Source organism: Homo sapiens, chromosome 9 (genome assembly GCF_000001405.40).
Source record: "Homo sapiens chromosome 9, GRCh38.p14 Primary Assembly".
Taxonomy (NCBI): domain Eukaryota; kingdom Metazoa; phylum Chordata; class Mammalia; order Primates; family Hominidae; genus Homo; species Homo sapiens.
Window position 1 is genome coordinate 22,036,635 of NC_000009.12, and position 18,576 is coordinate 22,055,210.

Consider the following 18,576-nt stretch of genomic DNA (forward strand, 5'->3'; position numbering starts at 1 on the left):
AAAAGATTTATGTTTGCCTTCTAATGTCAAAGTTAGGAGTCATCTGTCCATTTAACAGGTGGTGTTTTCTTGTGTAACTCCTCTGCCTTCATGCAAACCTTTGAGAACAATCTCTTGAAACAAGGCTAAAATGCCTTTGGAGAGGTATTATAGATGATCATATCTACTTTGTGCCTCTTTCCATTACTTAGCTGCATTAGAGGCCCAGCTGTGTAGGTGTAACTCAAAATCCACCAAAACTAATACTGTGGTTAGATTCTGGTCAAACAAGTTGCCATTAATCCAGATGTAGAATGGGATTGAAAGGTGGCTCTTCCACACCCTGACATCAATGTACCAGTTTGGCTCTGTGCATTCTTTCTCCCCTTCTCCCTTTACCACCCTCATATAATTGTTTGTGTACATGTCTGGTTTCGTCACTACGCTGATGGCAAGGATCATGCATGCCTTATTCATATTTGTGTTATTCAAGGATTCTACTCTGGGTTCTATTATGGGGCCTGGCCTAAAGTGGTTGTTCAAGAAATGTGTGTTAGAGAAATCATACATAAACTAGCAATTCTCATTTGGATTCCTGTATCTGAACAACTAACTTTCAGCTTCTTCAGTGGGATAAAGAAGAAAAATGGGGTTTAAAGTACATACTATTCAGTATTAATGTAGAATTTAACAGCTGCCATCCAAGTGCAGAATCCTCTGTAGTTTCCCAGTGTTAACCTCACTTCTATCTCTAGCCATGTCTCAGTGCTGGGTGACTCTCTCCTGGCATGTTCTGGCAAGACTCTACCTGGTTTGCGTAATCTACATCGGCTTCTAGTTTCCACAAGAATTGTTTATATGCATTTAATTTTAGCTCTTGGGCTATAACATGTCATTGTTCTTTTTACTTATCTCCTCTTACTTCTGGAAACAGGGCAGGCATCTTCAATACTTGCTGTTCCTGTTTGGTGTGCTCTTAGATTAATTTTAACTTTCCTCTTCAGCTTTCATGACACTTCAAGACATTTTCCAGTCATATTTCCTGTATAAGAAAATACAGACTATGTCACCACAAAGGGTAGTGGAGATTGGGGGGCATAATTTAATTCATTCAGGGAACTCATATTTTGGTGTGAATGGAAATTAAAGCAAGGTATTTGGATTAATTTACCTCATTTGGTTCTATATTCCATTTAGAGGATAACACATTAAGCTTTTATTCAATTTTATCTGTTATGGTCACAGTGAATCTGGAAAAAAATATATATGGGGCTTAGTTTTCATATTTAGGGGAAAATGAATATCCTAGAGAATAATAATAAAAGTTAGGGAAAATAATGTTTTCCTAAGAGTAGGCAATGAAAATCTGAAGGTACTCAAAGCAGTCTTGCACAAGTGCTTTGAAAAGCCTCTTGCACAATTTTATTTCTTTATAGTACTTACACAATCATATTTCATAATGACTTGCTATAAACAATGTTCTTGACAAGAAGCTTAAAGATACAAAACTGAAGGAAGCACTTTTGGGAGAAAATACTTTTATATTTGCTTACTTCTACACTACAACAGACATAAAATTATGGATTTTTTTTTCAGTGCAATTTTCATATGTCAGTTCTAGGAGACAGGAAATGTGAAACACTGTAGGAGGTATGAGTTTGCCACCTAGAGGAGAGAGGTGAAATTCAACTTTTCTCCAATTTCTTTAGTATAATTCATTAATTTATTTAATTATTTACTCGTTTAATTATTCAAAAATAATTATCTACCAAGCTTAACTATTTTGCCAGCGCAGATTTGATAAATCTGTTCAAGATTTATGAGCTCAAAGAAACCACAAAGTGCATCTTACTTTAATTGCTCAGCTGCCTCTTTTAAAAATCTTTTACTTTTAAGAGAGTATAGCACAAATATCTGAACAACTCTAAATATCCATACTTGGGATGGATATTACTTTGAGCTCTTGCACTATAATAAAACTTTATTCTTTTGTACTAATTCAGTCCTTTTACTTTTTCTTTTTTAATGTTTAAGAAACAAGTTGGATATGGACAAGATGTAATTTCTTCTGTCAAGGAACCCACAGGATAATAGGTTAATGATAGAGACCAACAATGCTGATGCATTTTTAATGACGGAGATAATGTCTAGAAAAAAATCCATTATTTGGTAAAGACAAAGTATGCATATGTATTCCTTTGTTTCAATTATTTTTAAAGTTAAAAAACAACTGCTTATCTCCTTTTGTACTACAAGCAATATCTGGTATAGTGTATGCATAGTAAGTATTCTAGAAATAGTAATTTCATTGTTGACTTGATTATATTGGAGTGGAACTTACTCTGGAAGAGATCCTAACTTTCATTTATCTGAGAAAATTTCCAGTTAGGACATGGAAATTTTTTCCTTGTCAATATTTATTCTTAATGTGTTTAGAATTTTAGAAAATGGGTTTAGGGATTTAGAAATTTCTTTACTAAATAACTCTAGGGAACAGTACCTTAAAAATATTCAAAATGACAAAAACTTAAAATGACATCTAATTTTTTAAGGCCAAGAATCATTAAAAAGGGATCCAAATCTTTAGACTTTGTTGCTCGGTGGAACTAGAATCATTAATATCTCAGTCAGGGGAAGCCATGTCAACTTACTGGTTTAATTTCCTGTGAGCTTCCCATGTTCTCTCCCTGCAAGGACCACCTCAAATCCCTCAGTAGTCCTGTCTTTATGAAACCAGTATAATTTTTCTTTTCGCTCTTGTCCTTCACCTTCCTGTGGCAACAAGAGTCAATTCTCCATATATAAATACTCGGCCCCTGTTTTAGCTGTGTCTTAATTGCGCAACATCTGTTTACTCTGTGTTTTAACATCTGTGTGGATAGCATTGTTGTTGTAATATTTTGACTGTAAGCTTCTAGGAGGTAGAGGCCAGCATTATTTTCTCCATTTTTGGAATGAGAAAATACAGATTACCACAATCAAAGTAGAATGGCAGCTTATAGTAGTTATTTGGATAATTTATATAGTCTCTTAAAAAAACAGATTATAGTAAGAAGTGGCTGAGCAATTAGCTATGGCACACTGCACGGTTTTTCTGACCTCTCAGCTCCTAAATAAACTTTGCCAAATCTTCAGGCCCTCAAAATTTTTTCATTCCATTTGTTATGGGCTGAATTGTGTTCCCCCGAAATGACTATGCTGAAGTCCTAACTCCTAGTGCTTCAGAATGTGACCTTATTTGGAAACAGGGTCATTGCAAATATAATTAGTTAAGATGCGATCTTACTGACATAGGAGAAGCTCCTAATCATGGTGTCCTTATAAAAAGGAGAATTTTGGCCATAGAGACATGCACTGGGAGAATGCTCTCTGAAGACTGGAGTTATGCTGCTAAAAGTCACAAAATTAACAGAAGCTACGGAAGAGACCTTGAATAAATTCTTCCCTGTAGCCTTGAGGGAGAGGATGGCCCAGCCAACTGCTAATCTCAGACGTCTAGCTTCCAGAGCTGTGAGACAATTTCTCTTTTTAGGCCACTCAGTTTGTGGCACTTTGTACAGCAGTCCTAGCCGACTAACACACCACTCTAACTGTTGATCAAGGCAAGAGCCTGTGATCATGTATTATCTTGCTTATTCCTTATCAGCATTCTATGGTGTAGATATTAGTGCCATCTATATACAAATTAGGAAATGGAGCCTCATAGAAATTAAATGACAAGTTCAAGGTGTCATGGCTATTTCATTATAGTGCCAGTGTTTGAACACAAATCAATTTGACTCCAAAACATCATTACTCTACTCAATTCTAGTTCAATCCAGATGTTCACAAACAACCAGACTATAGTGGAGATGTGGGTGGTGGGTTGAGAAGGAGATCATAACCAACATCAGACTGTCAGTGAAGCAGACTGGGAGAAGTTTTATGAAGCCAAGCAGCTGTGCAAGGTACAGTAGAGATGGTCAGATTGTTCATGTGTATGGATTCCATCTTCTGAGGAATGAACTCCTTGATATTCCTGAGTTAGTCCAGTTTAGGCAGGAGTAAACAGAAGGTAAACAGAAGATTGGAGACTGTGTGTGTGCACGAATGCCTCCTTTGTAGCTGGATGTCTAACATCATGATAGCCACACTCACATGAATACAGAGATACACAATTTACAAATTAATGTAACATAAAACTCCCATGCAGTCTGATTTCATCTTACTGACATTTCTGTCAGTCAGTGTTAGCATCTTAATTATATAAATGTGGAAACTGAAATACTCAAGAGGTTCCCTGACTTCCCAGGCCACACAGTAAGCTTTGGTGCCAGAATGTATCTCTAGGCTTTCTCATCTCAACCCAGCATTCATTATACTATTGCTCACTGCGTGTAGAATCAGATTTGATTTCTCTGACTTTTCTTAGTCACTTCTGTGGTTTTGTACCACTCCCTCTCTCACTAAATAACTGCCTGCAAAAGTAAAAATTTCCATGAAAACAGAAAACAAATGTACCAGAAATGTTGATGGTGTAAGAGATAAAACTGGGATAAAGAGAAAATGTGTTGGAAAGTGGTGTCCTTTAATGCAACAGAAAAGTATATTGGGAGAAAAAGAAAAGAGAGAAAAATAGACAATCTGAAGTGATGAGAAGAGCAAATGCTACAGATGTACCTGAACCTCTTCAGTAGGTGTGATCCTGAAGAGTTGTGTATAACAACAATGAACAAAAATAAAATGTACTGTGGAAATTGTCTAGCTGTTGAGATCCTCCTGTGCGATATTTTTCAAAGTGAAAACTCCAATCAACCCTAGCTTATTTATGGAGAAGACTTTGCCCCACAGTACCCAGAAAGTTTCTTGACAATATCATATATGCATAATAACCCTGAGACAATTTTTGTTTACCAGGAAAACATATAAAAGGGAACATTAAACTTTGTCTAGTTCTACTGCATAAACATGTGATAATGTGCATGGTGACCTTCTGTTGTAAATGGAAAGAGTTAAGCTCTCTGAATCTACTGCTGAAAGGTGAAAACACTTTCTTAGGGCTTTGAACTTCATTTGAAATCTTACTGAAAAAACACTACAGACTCTATTTTCTTTATATTTGAAGATACTTTACATAAAAATCTAAAGCATTTTGACTTATGTTTTCATCTACTTGAGAAGGAAACTCACAGACTCCAAAGCAACTGTTGTCTGTTTTGAAAAAAATTTCAGAAATCACCAGAAGCAATAGGGAGTGGCCTTGATTCCTGTTCTTGTATTTATGGGTAGCTAAAGTTCATATTTCTCAACATACCATAATCTCTGTGTAATTGGCCAAATTCCATGGTGGATAATTAGATCTAGCTTACCAGGGCAGATTTGGATGGTGAGAGCAGTCACACTGTTCTGGGAATATGTTAGCCAAGTTTACTATGTTTTACATGAGTTGACAGACTCACCTCACTTGCTGAAGGACTAGCCCAGCAGGTTCTACGGGTGAGATCACTGCTAGCTCATTCACTGCTGGGCCTGGTAGGCACAAGAGGCCAAGAAATAAATAATGTGAATTTGGGCTTCAGAAGTTCTCTTTCCTATTTTCTTTCCTAAACCCTTTCTTCTACCAGCTGTCTAGGGGCTAAAACATTTGTTCATACGTTTATTAACTAATTCAACAAATATTTACCAACCATGTTTCAGGCACTGGACACTAGAAATATAATAGTGAACTAGACATTTTCTGCCTTCAAGGGTCTATGAACAATTATAATATTCTGAAAAATATTACAATTCACAGAGCTCAGTAATCCAAATCCTTATTATTTCTGTCTTTAAAAAGCAGAAAGTGAAAAATGCTCTTAAAAGAGGATGGCATAGAAATGTATTTATGCATTGCAACAGATAAAATTAAGGAATGCATGAAGACTGGTTCATCTGTGTGGTTGTGAGTCAAGAATAAATCCCACCCTCCCTGAAGTACTCAGACTCTACCTTGCCCCATGGCCACCACTGTGGCCCAATGGAAGCACCAGTCCAGGGGGTCTCCATTCATGCTGTCTTTGGATGTCTTCAGAATGTTGTTTCACAAGTACTCAGACCCAACAGTAAGATTTTAAAAATTGTCCATAATATTAACCTTGGCATTATTATGTTAAAGAAAGCAAAACAGATATCACTGAGTTTACTTCTCAAAAAAACCTTGCGTTCCTGCAAAAGTTTCTTGAATTCTGACTCTTGTCACACAATCACACAAGAATGGCTATACTTAAACCCTTCTAATCAATTATATCCTTAATATGTATGACTGAGTGATGTGTTTTCATGACTATGAAATGTATACATGTTTGGAAAATCTATTCACAATAGAGTTTTATGATATTCCTGTTAACAGGCTGTCATTGTAACACTGTTTATGCAGGAATTGTAATTCTATCTGTTTTTATTTTTAGCGTCTTTTCTCTCCATCCCCCAAATTTTAAGGAGCTATCAGGTCTGTATTTTATTTGGTTTTGAAGTTTTAGGTTATTTGTAGTTATAATAGCCATATCAATTATTCATTTAGCAAACATGTATTGAGTGCTACTATGTGCTTAGATTTTTCCAATGTTGTGAAGGATAATTGGCTAAAACTTTTCCACTTTTATTAGTAATTTGAGAGTTTTTTTCTCCATGGATTTTAGTCACTGGTAAAGGCTGTTTCATATTCATAGATTTTTTTCTACGGTAAGAAACATATGATGTTGAATAAGGTATGAATTACAAATTAAGGCTTTTCCACATTCGCTGCCTTTATAAGATTTTTTTTTCTTCATCAAAATCTATTCACACACACACAGACACACATGCGCTGTTTTGATTTTCTTCAAATATATCCAGTGTTCAGTTCTTGGGCACATATTAATATACTTGCCTAGATGAAGACTATGTGTCCTCAGGAATTTATAATCTAGCAGGTGAAAGATTTGCTTCTTTCAAAATGTGACTCTACTTCCCCACTCCTTAGGTTGTGAAAGCAGTTGTTTACGCTTTATTTCATTGTTTTCCAAACTTTAGTTATTTATGTGCCATCTTCATGATTATGCTATTCACATACCACCTATACTATTATGCTTCTGAAAATATACTATGATTTTCAACTTAATTAAATTTGTTTAGTAATAACAGTAGCTGTTACATCACTAGGTTGATGTGCTAGTTAAAAATTTTTAAATATACTTTAATATAAATATGTTACTACTAAATTATTTTTTTGTCTGTATGCACCCAAAATCTTGCCTTTAGTAGTACTACACATATCATGCTTTGGGAAACTCTACCCATGAGATTCATATTCAAGCATGAGGAATGGCAAAAGAAAATACAGAAATAGTGATAGTAACCATAGCAATGGTAATAAGAGCTATTATTTATTGAGGACTTTACGTATGTCATTTAATTTTATTTTATCCTCACAACAAATTTTAGCCATGAGTATCAGATAAATATGAGGCAAAAGGGCAGGAAAGAAGGAACAGTGGAAGTCAAGCTTTTTTTCGCCTAGGTCAGCTATAACTAACACGACAAGATGTTTTAGTATTTGTACTTTATTTTTAGTCAGCTCAGATTTCACACCTGACTATTTTACAAAAATTTGGATGTGATGGTGGCAGATTAACATAATTACTTTTAGCAATTATTATGGGACAAATTAGTTAAAGGTTGTAAAATGCCTAGAAACAGAGTAGAATATCCTAGTAGGATATCCTAGAATATCCTATAATTAAGTTATCAAACAATTACTCTGATTATTTTTCACAGTAGTTCAATCAAAGTGTAACTTTGGGTCTGTTAGTATACATGAGTGTGAATACTCTGGAGATTTGATCTTTGGCTTTCCTGTGTAAGTTCATATATATTTTTGTTATTATCCTGTAAATAACTGAATTATAGTACAGTGATTCTGTAAAAAACACTTTAGTTATTAATATTCTTTGGTGTGAAGTTCACATTAAAAATTGTTATATTTCCAGAACCTGGTTTTTACCTGTGAAAGTCAATGCATCCTTCTTTTAATCCTCTGCATTGGTTTTGCATAGCTTGATGAAATATGACTTGCTTCTCCTCCCTCCCCCTCCTTCCTGTGCCTGTATCCCCATCATTTTTTTTTCTATTCCTCTTGGTATCTGGACTTCTTTTTCTGCCAAATGAGTCAGTAAGAGAGGAAATGTTTAACCCACATTTGTCATCTTGGCTGGGAAAGAAGTTTGAAGGCAAAAGGTGCCTGAATATGTTTCACTAGGATGCTGACACAACCTTTTTGACTCTCTCCTAAGAATACTACTCTATATTCAAGTTATAAAGTGCTAAATGATCTATTTCCACCATGTATACATTTCATATGATCAATACTTATTTTGTAACTTTTTTCTTTGAGGAGAAGTATTTTTCTTTTGGAAAAATATTATTTATTTGTGTGTGTGTGTGTGTGTGTGTGTGTGTGTGTATTTATTTTCTTTTAATATGTGGTCTCCCTATGCAAAGGATTTGATTTTATAAACAGAAGCAATAGGATTAAGAGGATAAAGGAAAAATAGGAGAAGGGGAAATATGAGTATCATGATAAGGTAAAAATGAATTGCTTGTATTCTAACATAGAATAGCTACTACCTGTTGAGTGTTTATTATATATTAGACATTTAAGACTAATCAAAATATCTAATCTAATGAAATAATCACTGTTTTGAATTTGCTTAGATTTAGTAGATGTAGAAACTGAGACTTAGAGAGGTTTATTTACTCAACTCCACACTGCTAATTACTGGTGAAAGTAGAATTTTACTCCTCTGGTTTTCTCATCCAGCACATCATCACTATAACCCTTATAGTTTGCTTTTGGCACAAGTATTCATTATTAATGGAAATGCATAGTATTATCTCAGCAAATGTACAAATAGTTTAGCTTCACTAAACTAGTCAATTTTTTTTTTCTAAACATCAATGCTTAGGAAGCAAAACAGGCTGGGGGAACAGTAGTTGTACTGGTGGCAGCTGTGGTGCTGATGGAGGAAGTGGTGGAATGCATAGGCTGCTCATGCTTTTTGCCACAATGAAGGTCAAAAAGTAGATCACTTAAAGTCTAAAGTTAACCTTGGGGGTCATATTCTTCACCAAAAACTATGTTTATACATATAGACTTAGCAGTATGCTATAAAAGTGAAGATATAGCACTATAAAATTCCACCATAAAGTAAATTGTTCAAGATTGTGGTCCAAGCTCTTCAAAATGCTCATAAATCAGAAGGTGTATTTATTAAACAATATTTTATATGTACCTATAATAATACAATACTATACTACACAAATTGGACCTAAAATGAATTCTCTTGCTATATTAAATATTAAACATTAAATAGGCAGAAATTTTGTTTGCACTGGACTTAGAATATAAGAAGAAAATTTGGGACAACCTGAATAGTTGAGGTCTCTTGAGAAACCCTTCAGCTTCTTTTCCTCCAAATAAATTTCTCTGTAGCAAATGGAAGCCATCCAAATGATTCCCTAGCTACCTCAAAGTACTGTAATTTGTCTACTTCACAAAGTGGAGGACTATATCTAGCAATAATTCAAGAAAAATGCAGTGACTCCCATTATATCTTAGGCACTATGCTAGGAAGTTTATGCATATCATTTTGTTTGATTTTAATAGCAACTTCATGAAATAAATCATCATAATAAATCACTATTTCAGATATTGAGAAACCACAGAAAGAGAGAAGTTAAATAATTTTCCTGTCAAAGACCACATCAATGATGAAGCCAGAATTTGAGCTCATGTACTTAACCACTGGACTACCTGCCTGCCCTGTCGAGGAACAGCTAAGGTTGTCATAGAGTCTTGACTGTGTATAGATAGTTGTTTGAAGAGAGAAAAAAGGCAGGAGGATCTGGGGCATATGTTTAAATCAGGCATTGGCATCTGTACTAGAATTGAAAGGTGGAACTATTATTGTGTTCTATTTATTGAGTATAGGTATACCATATTCAATGTATTTCTCTGCTTCATACACTATCCAAGGTGATAAAAGTGTTTATGAAGAGGGATTAGGAAATATCTGCTGTGTTTAGGTCATAGTCCAACCAAAGGATTAATTAACATTTGCCTCTTTTTTCTCCTACATCCAGTGTCCCTTTTGATGAGAAGAATAAGCCTCATTCTGATTCAACAGCAGAGATCAAAGAAAAGACTTCTGTTTTCTGGCCACCAGATATATGTTATCTGTGCTTAAAGAATTGAAAAACACACATCAAAGGAGAATTTTCTTGGAAAGAGAGGTAATGAGATACAGTGAAAGAGAATGGAGATTCTTTAAATCACAGAGACCTAGGATCAAATCCTGTGATTAGCACTTTTTAGTAATGTAGCCTACTTCATTTCTTTGAGCCCTCGTTTATTTTTCTGAAAATGAGGGTGATCTAAATTACGTCTGGAGTAGTAATAAAGATTAAATCCATGTGATACAGGTAAACTCATGACAATAATAGACATGAAACAAATAGTCTTTCATCTCCCTCCTTTGCTCAAGCATTGCTCTGCTCTTCTCACCTCCTTTCCCTTCCTTTTTCTTTTCTCCTCTTTATTTTGTCTGTACCCAATAGCTTTTCCCAAGCCTTAAAACTATGTATAGGTATATTGTTGCAGCAAAATGCATAAAGGAGACACTCATTATTTGCATCCATTTATATGCTGATATAAATATTTCATCCTCACAAGTTTCAGAGGGAAAGACCACATGCTGGTGATTTGGTGAGAAAGAAGCAACTATTTCTGTGATTTAATTTCAACCTGAGCATTAAAGAGGCACCCTTTCACTACTAGTGGTAACTCCATGCTTCCAAGAACTAATGAGCTGAAGAACTTAGCACTTGTGATGAATTAGTCAAGCAAAAATTATGAAGCGAGTAATCTATAACATTATAGTACATTACAAATGCTGAAATATATTAGTTATTATTTATTATGATTCTTATAGCTCATTTATACTGTACAAAATTCTTCTGTCATTTTATGAAGATGTTACACATATACATAACAAAACTTAGCTAATTAGATACAAAGACTATAGAACCAAATAACTCTTTTCTAAATATTTTCCCTTTAAGGAGGTTTTGCAATCCAGCTTTGCTGTGGTTAGACACTGTTGATGAGAAAACTTTTTTTTTCTTTCTTTTTTTTTTTTAGACAGGGAATCATTCTGTTGCCCAGGCTGTAATGCAGTGGCACAATCATGGTTCATTGCAGCCTCAACCTCTTGGGCTATAGTCGTCCTCCTGCCTCAGTCTTCTGAGTAGCTGGGACTATTTGATGTGCACTCCCATGTGCGGCTAATTTTTGTATTTTTTTTTTTTTGTAGAGATGGGTTTTCAACATGTTGCCTAGGCTGGTCTCGAGCTCCTAGGCTCAAGGTATCCACCTGCCTCAGCCTCTCAAAGTGCTGGGATTACAGGCGTGAGTCAGTGCGCCTGACCTGGATGAGAAAATATTGAGTTGGAAACCCAAAATATGACATAAATAATTGGTATATTTTAGAGCTGGATTTCAACAACTTTTCAACACTGTCATCCTGTAAATGTCTTTCCGTCCTAATCCCATTGCCCATGCACTCAGCAGAAGTGTGTGCCTCTAAGGTGGATGCTGGTATGAAATATCTCAGCTGGGGCAGGCTCTGAAAGGGAGAGATCTGGTTAAAGTGCTCATACCAAACAAAGCTCCTCATGATGCTGGCCTAACTCTCCCAATCCTGCATTTCTCAACAAAACTTTTTGCTCTTCTCTTTCACATAACTCCCGTGGAATAATTTCCATTGAATTGCATGGAAGAGGCTGTTCATGGGGTTAGTCTGGCAGATAAGAGGTCTCCACTGGATTTTTTCATTTTGCAATCAGTTTCATACATATACGTACATACTTTTCTTGGAGTCATAGTTCATTCTCAGGTCTTTTAGAGTTAAATATCTTTCATTTCTTCTTTTAAGGTCTTAATTTCTTGTTTTTCGAGTTTCATGGGAGATATCCAGTCACCAATCCAATCCATATCGGGGAAAAGTACAACAAATGAGTGAAATTTGTAACCAACCTTGGATGATGGAATAAGACATTTGGGAGAACACAGGAGAAGTGGGGAGGTTAAGGAGGGATAGCTCTGTGAAAATTTTGCATTACTCTTGCCTGAGGTCTACTCTTCCTTGTCATGTTGGTGGCTGTTTTGACAATGAGAAATATTTAATGGCAAACTTAGTCTTCTAATTTGAAAATGGAAATCATAACAGTTCTTGCCTCTTAGGGATAGTGTGAGACAAGTGAAATAATCCATGTAAGAGGTATAGTACTATGCTTGCCATTCTTTAAGAGCTCAACAAATATTCACTTTTTACCTATTAGTATCAATCTTAATTCTAAAATTCTATTATTTAATATTTTCCAGTGGTGTTTCTAAATAATATCTAATGACTAGGCTAATACACTATGTGGTTCTTCTAGGGTTCAAGCATCACTGTTAGGTGTGCTGGAATCCTTTCCCGAGTCAGTACTGCTTTCTAGAAGAAAACCGGGGAGATCTATTTGGAATGTATCTAACTCCAAAGAAACCATCAGAGGTAACAGGTAGGAGATATGAAACGACCTTTTAGATATGAACCCTAATTGAATAAAAGTTGCCAAACAACTGTTCCCAAACATCTAAAGAAGAGTTTTAGTCTAAGTGGAATGGCTGGAGAGTATGGGAAGAGTTCTTTCCTACTCTGTCCAAACACAAGCCTCTGTGACATTTATCAAAGAAATGCAGCCCTTTAAATCTGGGTATAAGTCCGAAAGGTGCTTTCCTTGTGAAGCTTCTTTTGTCCTCTGCTTTTAGGACTCTCTGCACACTGCATCCTCTATGTCACCCTCCAGTACATCTGCTCTTACACAAGGGGCCCCACAGGGACTGGCCCACACACCAGCCAGGGCACATGGGCCAACTTTTAACAGCAAAAGGAAATGCTAAATCCTAGAGTAGGGCAGATGAGAAAAATGGCATTCTTCAGAGAGCTGGGATGACTCACATTAAGATCAAGGGCCCTGAAGTAAGACAGACCTGAGTCTGAATCTCAATTCCAACAATAAATTTGTTTATACACTTAAGGCATCATGTATAGTATTGTTAAATAGATACTTTACAAGATTGTAACTAAGAGGAAGCAAAATAATATCTGTAAAGCGTTTCATAGATTGGCCAGCATATAGTAAACATTTAATAATTAGTAGCTATTATTATTTTTCCTTAAATATTTTTTTTCTGGCTTCCTAGCAATCATAAAATTTAGTCTTGTATAGACTCCATGGCTAGGACTTGCAGAATTAAAAATGGTCTGAACAATTTAGACATTGCCTTTTTGTCCTCAAACCAAGGGGTGAATTTTTATTCTAAAATATCCAGATTGTCCATATCACTTAACCAGTTGATTGCTAAGTCTGTATTTCTCTTTTATGCAATTGGGAAACATTAAAAAGTTGAATGTATATACTGTACACATACATGCACACACATAGACTTAAGTACATAAATGTGTATGTACCTTCCATAGCACTTAGCTCATCTGTTCTTTCCTATGACCTTTTCTATAATCCTGTGAAGTAGGTTTTATATTATCCTATTTTATGATTAAAGGAGAAGGGAAGACAGAAAAGCAGCCTGGCTTGGCCAGAGGCCTTGCAATTGATTACGTATAGAGCCAGGGAGTCCTGACCCCTTTTCAGTTTTTCTTCCTCTGTACTGCTGTGATGACTGTGGAAGTGAAGTACTTCTTTGGCTGCCAAGGAAGTCCCAGCTGAAAGGTAACCAAAGGAAAGGAGTATTTGGGAGCAGCATGGCTGAAATCCAGTTAACAGTTAAAATCCCGTTGGGCAATTTCTCGTTAATTGACAACAGGAATTGCTGTCACTGTCCTGTCTAGCCACTTTCAAACGGTGGGGATGTTAGCAAGAGCTCCCAGTGAATGCTTCCTAGGAGAGCAGTGATTGCTTTGGCTAGCTTCTTCTGTAGCAGTTTTCTGGCGGTGAAAAGTCTGTACTAAGACAATTGGAGGTGGTAATCATTTTCTAATAACCACCTCAGGCTTTTGGCACCTAATTCGCTGGCACTGTCTAGGGAAGCTCCTTATGCTAACTCATGCTTCTTGCCATGTCAATCTGCTTATCTAATTTTGCTGGGAAATCTGATATCACCCTTCAAATAGTTCACCTCAGTGGGATCCAGTGTGTGACCTGCAAAGTGCTCAAGGAAGAGTCTGATCAGCTCTGACAAGCAAACAGCAGAAAGAAGTTTTGAAAAAACGGCTACCGTTTTTGCAGCTTTTTCACTGTGGTTCCATGGTGTTTGAAATCAGAATGTAATATTGAGTTAATGACACAAGGAAACACTTGGATGTTCATATTGTCTACTTGGTTTTCATGAACCTCACATGGACTGGCTTCATCCTGTTTCAGAGTCCATTCAACTGTAATTTCCACTCTACTTCCTGTGCAGGCCTTCCTCTGGTTTGTGGGCTGTACATTTCAGCCTGCTCCTTTAAGGGGCCCCCTGAGCTGAAAATGAAAGAGACATTTTGTTGCTTCTGCTACCTGCTTATCGTCCAATCCCAATCTCAGATTTTCTTTTTCTATTTTTTAAACCCGAGTAGCACTTTTCCAACTAGTGTGTAGTTTTTCTTTCAATTCTCTGCTCTTCACAGTAATTAAACAAGAGCTAGCCTCCTTTTCCAAATCTTGTTTTTGTAATACCTTTATTCCCAAAGAGTTATGCTTATAAGAGTAACATAAATGTGTTAAACTTGGTATTGATTTGATGATTTCATAAACCCCAGACTCCTTGAAATTCTGCAGGTTTTTGTGAAAGGACTTGCTTAAAATCTTTGCTAATCTACCTGAATTTTCTTCCAAAGGCAGTTATATACAATGTTTCTTAAAACTAATTCTCCAAATTTGCAATTTGGCAGCATCCTACTGGGACTCTAGAAGGCTGATAAATCATGGAGAGTAGGTATTCATATAGGAACTATGAAAGCTGTATGTAGTAAACACTACTTAAGAAGGCCTTACATTTCATAAAAAGTTGGAGATTTTTGTGGAGACTCATAAAATGCATCCTTTATATCAGTGAAGTTTTTGCTTCTAGGTATATTATACTCACATCGAAACACTCCAGGGATTTTGTTTTCAGCCTGCATATACCACGTATATTTATTATCTGGATAGATAAATTAGACGTATACATTTAAAGGAGTTTGCATCAGCTGCTGCTAGGAAGTTTTTCTTGTGTTAGTTAAGATCCTGTGAAACAACCCTTGACATTTCACTAGCTGCACAGTTTGTAATAAAATCCATTTTAGCCTGAGGTTAAATCATGACTGTGGTCCTCACATCATGGTGGGGGATCCTGGTGGCCAGATTAAAGGAAACTCCACATTCTCATTTCTGACTTCCCTACAACCTTGTATTAAGACCTTAATTGAAAAACTTATTGCCTCTCTCACCAAAATATTTCAAATTTTAATAGTTTCCCCCAATGAAATTACAAGTACTATTTTACTTTTTTCAGTGCCCTTGGAATTTCGAGGCTGGATGGGGGGCTTCAATGTCTGACTCATTAAGTGTTCTATATACAAAGCCCTACATGGTCCCTAGAGCATAGCAGGCATTCAGTGAATGAAATGAATGAATGAAAAGCTAGAGTCACATTTTAGTGACCTAACTGTATATTTTCAGAGTAATGTAGTGCTTAAAAAAGGACAATGATAACACGTTTCTACAAAGAGATGCATGACAGATAACACTTCTCAAGAAGAAGGAATTTAGCTTCTGTCATTTGATCTAGGTTTTCAATTACAGAAGCATTGAGAATTTCCTGTGGCTGGATAAGGGCGAATCTTTAAGGCAAGTTGAAGACCCAGGCTGCCCATGTGGACATCAATACTCCCACAGAGCACTCTTCATGAAGAAAAGTGTGGGCTTGCTGTCTTTTCATCAAAACTCGTAGAATTTGGCTGACTGCCTGGTTTATCCCAGGACATTAGTCAGCCCACAAATCCCGCATTTGTTTATTCAGTCCAGAGCAAGTGAATACTGCCATTTTCTCATCTCCTTTGTTGGCAACACTTTGTTAACCTGAATTGGGTTCTCAACATAAAATGAAGTGACTAATCTTTTGGGGGGTTCCCCCTCCCAGGTTCTTGTATGAGCAACTAAATCTACACACCACAAAGCCCCATGCTGTCATTTTTTCTCATCCTGCCCCTTTATTTTGATGATTCCACATTGTAGTTCATGAAACCAATACCTTCTAGAGTGTGGCTGAACTGGCGCCAGCATTAAGAAAAGGAGTTTCCAAACTTTTTAGTTTTGTGAGAAAATGTTAGAGGAAGAGGGAGGTTAGGTTGACTATTTATACTTATGTAATCTTCTGTGAATTTGCAGTAGTTATCACCTTGTACTCTCAAAAGTTTTCTAGCTCTGAGTATGTGAATCTGAAAGTGCAGGAAGTAGGAATCTTAGCACAAAACAACCAGTTTGGATTATCACACAATTAATATGGGACGGAGCTGGAGGATGGACCTGAACAGAATGTATATTCTTTATCACTAGGTTATTTATCTATCTACAGATGTCTAGAAAGACCTGGGCTTTTTTAGCAAACGTTTGAGAATCTAGGTTTCTAAGTTTCCATTGACCATGAAAGAGTGATTAGTTTTAGAAGACAGTTGGGGGCAACATTGTGCAAGTCAGAAGAGGGGATGAAGAAAATCATAAAGCTAAACATGTTTGCCATAGGCCCAGGCTGTTTTTCAGCATGTTTCACCTAGCAGCTTGGCAGATAATTCCCAGTGATCATTAGGTCTGTGGAAATTCTGTTTGGTTTATAAAGTTTTGGCCCTGACTATGTGTACCACTGATAACTTGTTTTTCTCTCTCTTCCCTTTTCCTCCAACTCGTAGCCAGAGCTACCTTCCAGATGACTTCTTTCTACCACTTTCTTTCTTCCCAGTGTAAGAGAATGCAAGTATATGCTGATGTTTGGAGCAAGAACATTCAAAAATTTTCTTATTAACATAACTTCTAATGGAAATACAGTATACTACTATGGTGCATACAAAGAAGAAATAGCAACATATATTTGTTTTAGACCTGATTGCTGTATTTTATTCCTTAGGTCCTCCTTGATGTCTTGTAGACCGTCACTAGCTAATTGTTACAGCCATCGAAGGAAAAAATAAGGATTTTTACTTAGGACATACGTAACAGAAAAAGAGATGGTTTAGCAAAAAAGCACAGGCTTTGCAATAAGCAGCCTTAAATTAAAAAAAAAAAAGTTAACTCATAACTAACTGTGTGACCTGGGATAAGTTACTGACCCTCTTTAGGGCTTAGGGTCCTAATCTGCAAAACGGAAATTATAATAATAACCTTAGCTAGCATTTCTTGTGCACATACTATAAGCTGGTGATAAACAATTTATACACACTATCTCATTTAATCCTCACAACAATCCTGTGAGATAGGTACTATTATCATTTCTATTTTACAGATGAAGAATCCAGACATAAGAAGTGAAGTTAAGTAACTTTCTCAAGGTCGCACAGCTACCATATGATGGAGCTGGAATGTGAATCTCTGCAGTTTGACGCCAGAGTGCATGCTCTTAGTCACTACATTTGTCTACAAATCTAAAACACGTAAGACACATAGGAGGTGCTCAGTTAGTGGTATCTATTATTAAATCAGACTATAAATAATCACCAGGCAATACTTGAAAGGCCACAAACAATTTCTTAGGATTTGTGACAATACTAATAATTATAACTGATTATGAGCATACCTTGTGTCAGGCACTTCTTTTCATAGTATTTCAGTCATTATTTAAGAGATTTATTCTTATTTTTATTTTTCTAGTGAGAAAACTGAGGCTCAAAAAAGCCGACAAATTTGTTTAGGATTACAAAAATATCAAATGATAGGATTGAAAATCAAATCCATATCCTTTCTATGTGAAAACCTGTGTTCTTTCAGCTTTTTTTATTTTTATTTTTTTATTTTTTATTTATTTTTTTAAATTTTTATTTATTTTATTTTTTTATTTTATAAGCCTTTTTATTTTTATTTATTTTACTTTATTTGTTGTTGCTGGTGTTTTTTTCTTGAGACAGAGTCTCACTCTGTCTCAGCTCACTGTAACTTCTGCCTCCCGGGTTCAAGCAATTCTCCTGCCTCTGCCTCCCAAGGAGCTGGGATTACAGGCACCTGCCACCATGCCTGGCTCACTTTTGTATTTTTAGTAGAGATGGGGTTTCACCATGTTGGCCAGGCTGGTCTCGAACTCCTGACCTCAAGTGATCTGCCTGCCTTGGCCTCCCAAAGTGCTGGGATTTACAGGCATGAGCCACCACGCCCAGCCTGCCTGATTTTTAAAATTATTAAATTCATATTTGTTATTTATCAGATGCCTCTGCCACTTTATTTTTTAAAAATTTATTTTTATTAAGGTATAGTTAACAAATAAAAATTCTATATATTTATTGTGTACAGTGGAATGTTTTGATATATGTATACATT

The 18,576-nt window shown here is 36.1% G+C and overlaps 1 long non-coding RNA gene across 32 annotated transcripts in view; it reads left to right on the top strand.

Annotated features, from left to right (window-relative positions):
* CDKN2B-AS1 (CDKN2B and CDKN2A antisense cis and trans regulatory RNA 1) overlaps positions 1–18,576 on the top strand; it is a 133,352-nt gene that overhangs the window by 41,844 nt on the left and 72,932 nt on the right. For 25 of the 32 annotated variants that reach the window (NR_185867.1, NR_185859.1, NR_120536.1 and 22 more), the window contains 2 exons: positions 10,117–10,266; positions 12,472–12,594. This is a non-coding gene — a long non-coding RNA (CDKN2B and CDKN2A antisense cis and trans regulatory RNA 1). Of the gene's footprint in view, positions 1–9,682; positions 9,816–10,116; positions 10,267–12,471; positions 12,595–18,576 lie in introns of all 32 variants that reach the window. The other 7 variants (NR_003529.4, NR_047532.2, NR_185863.1 and 4 more) reach the window with 2 other exon arrangements.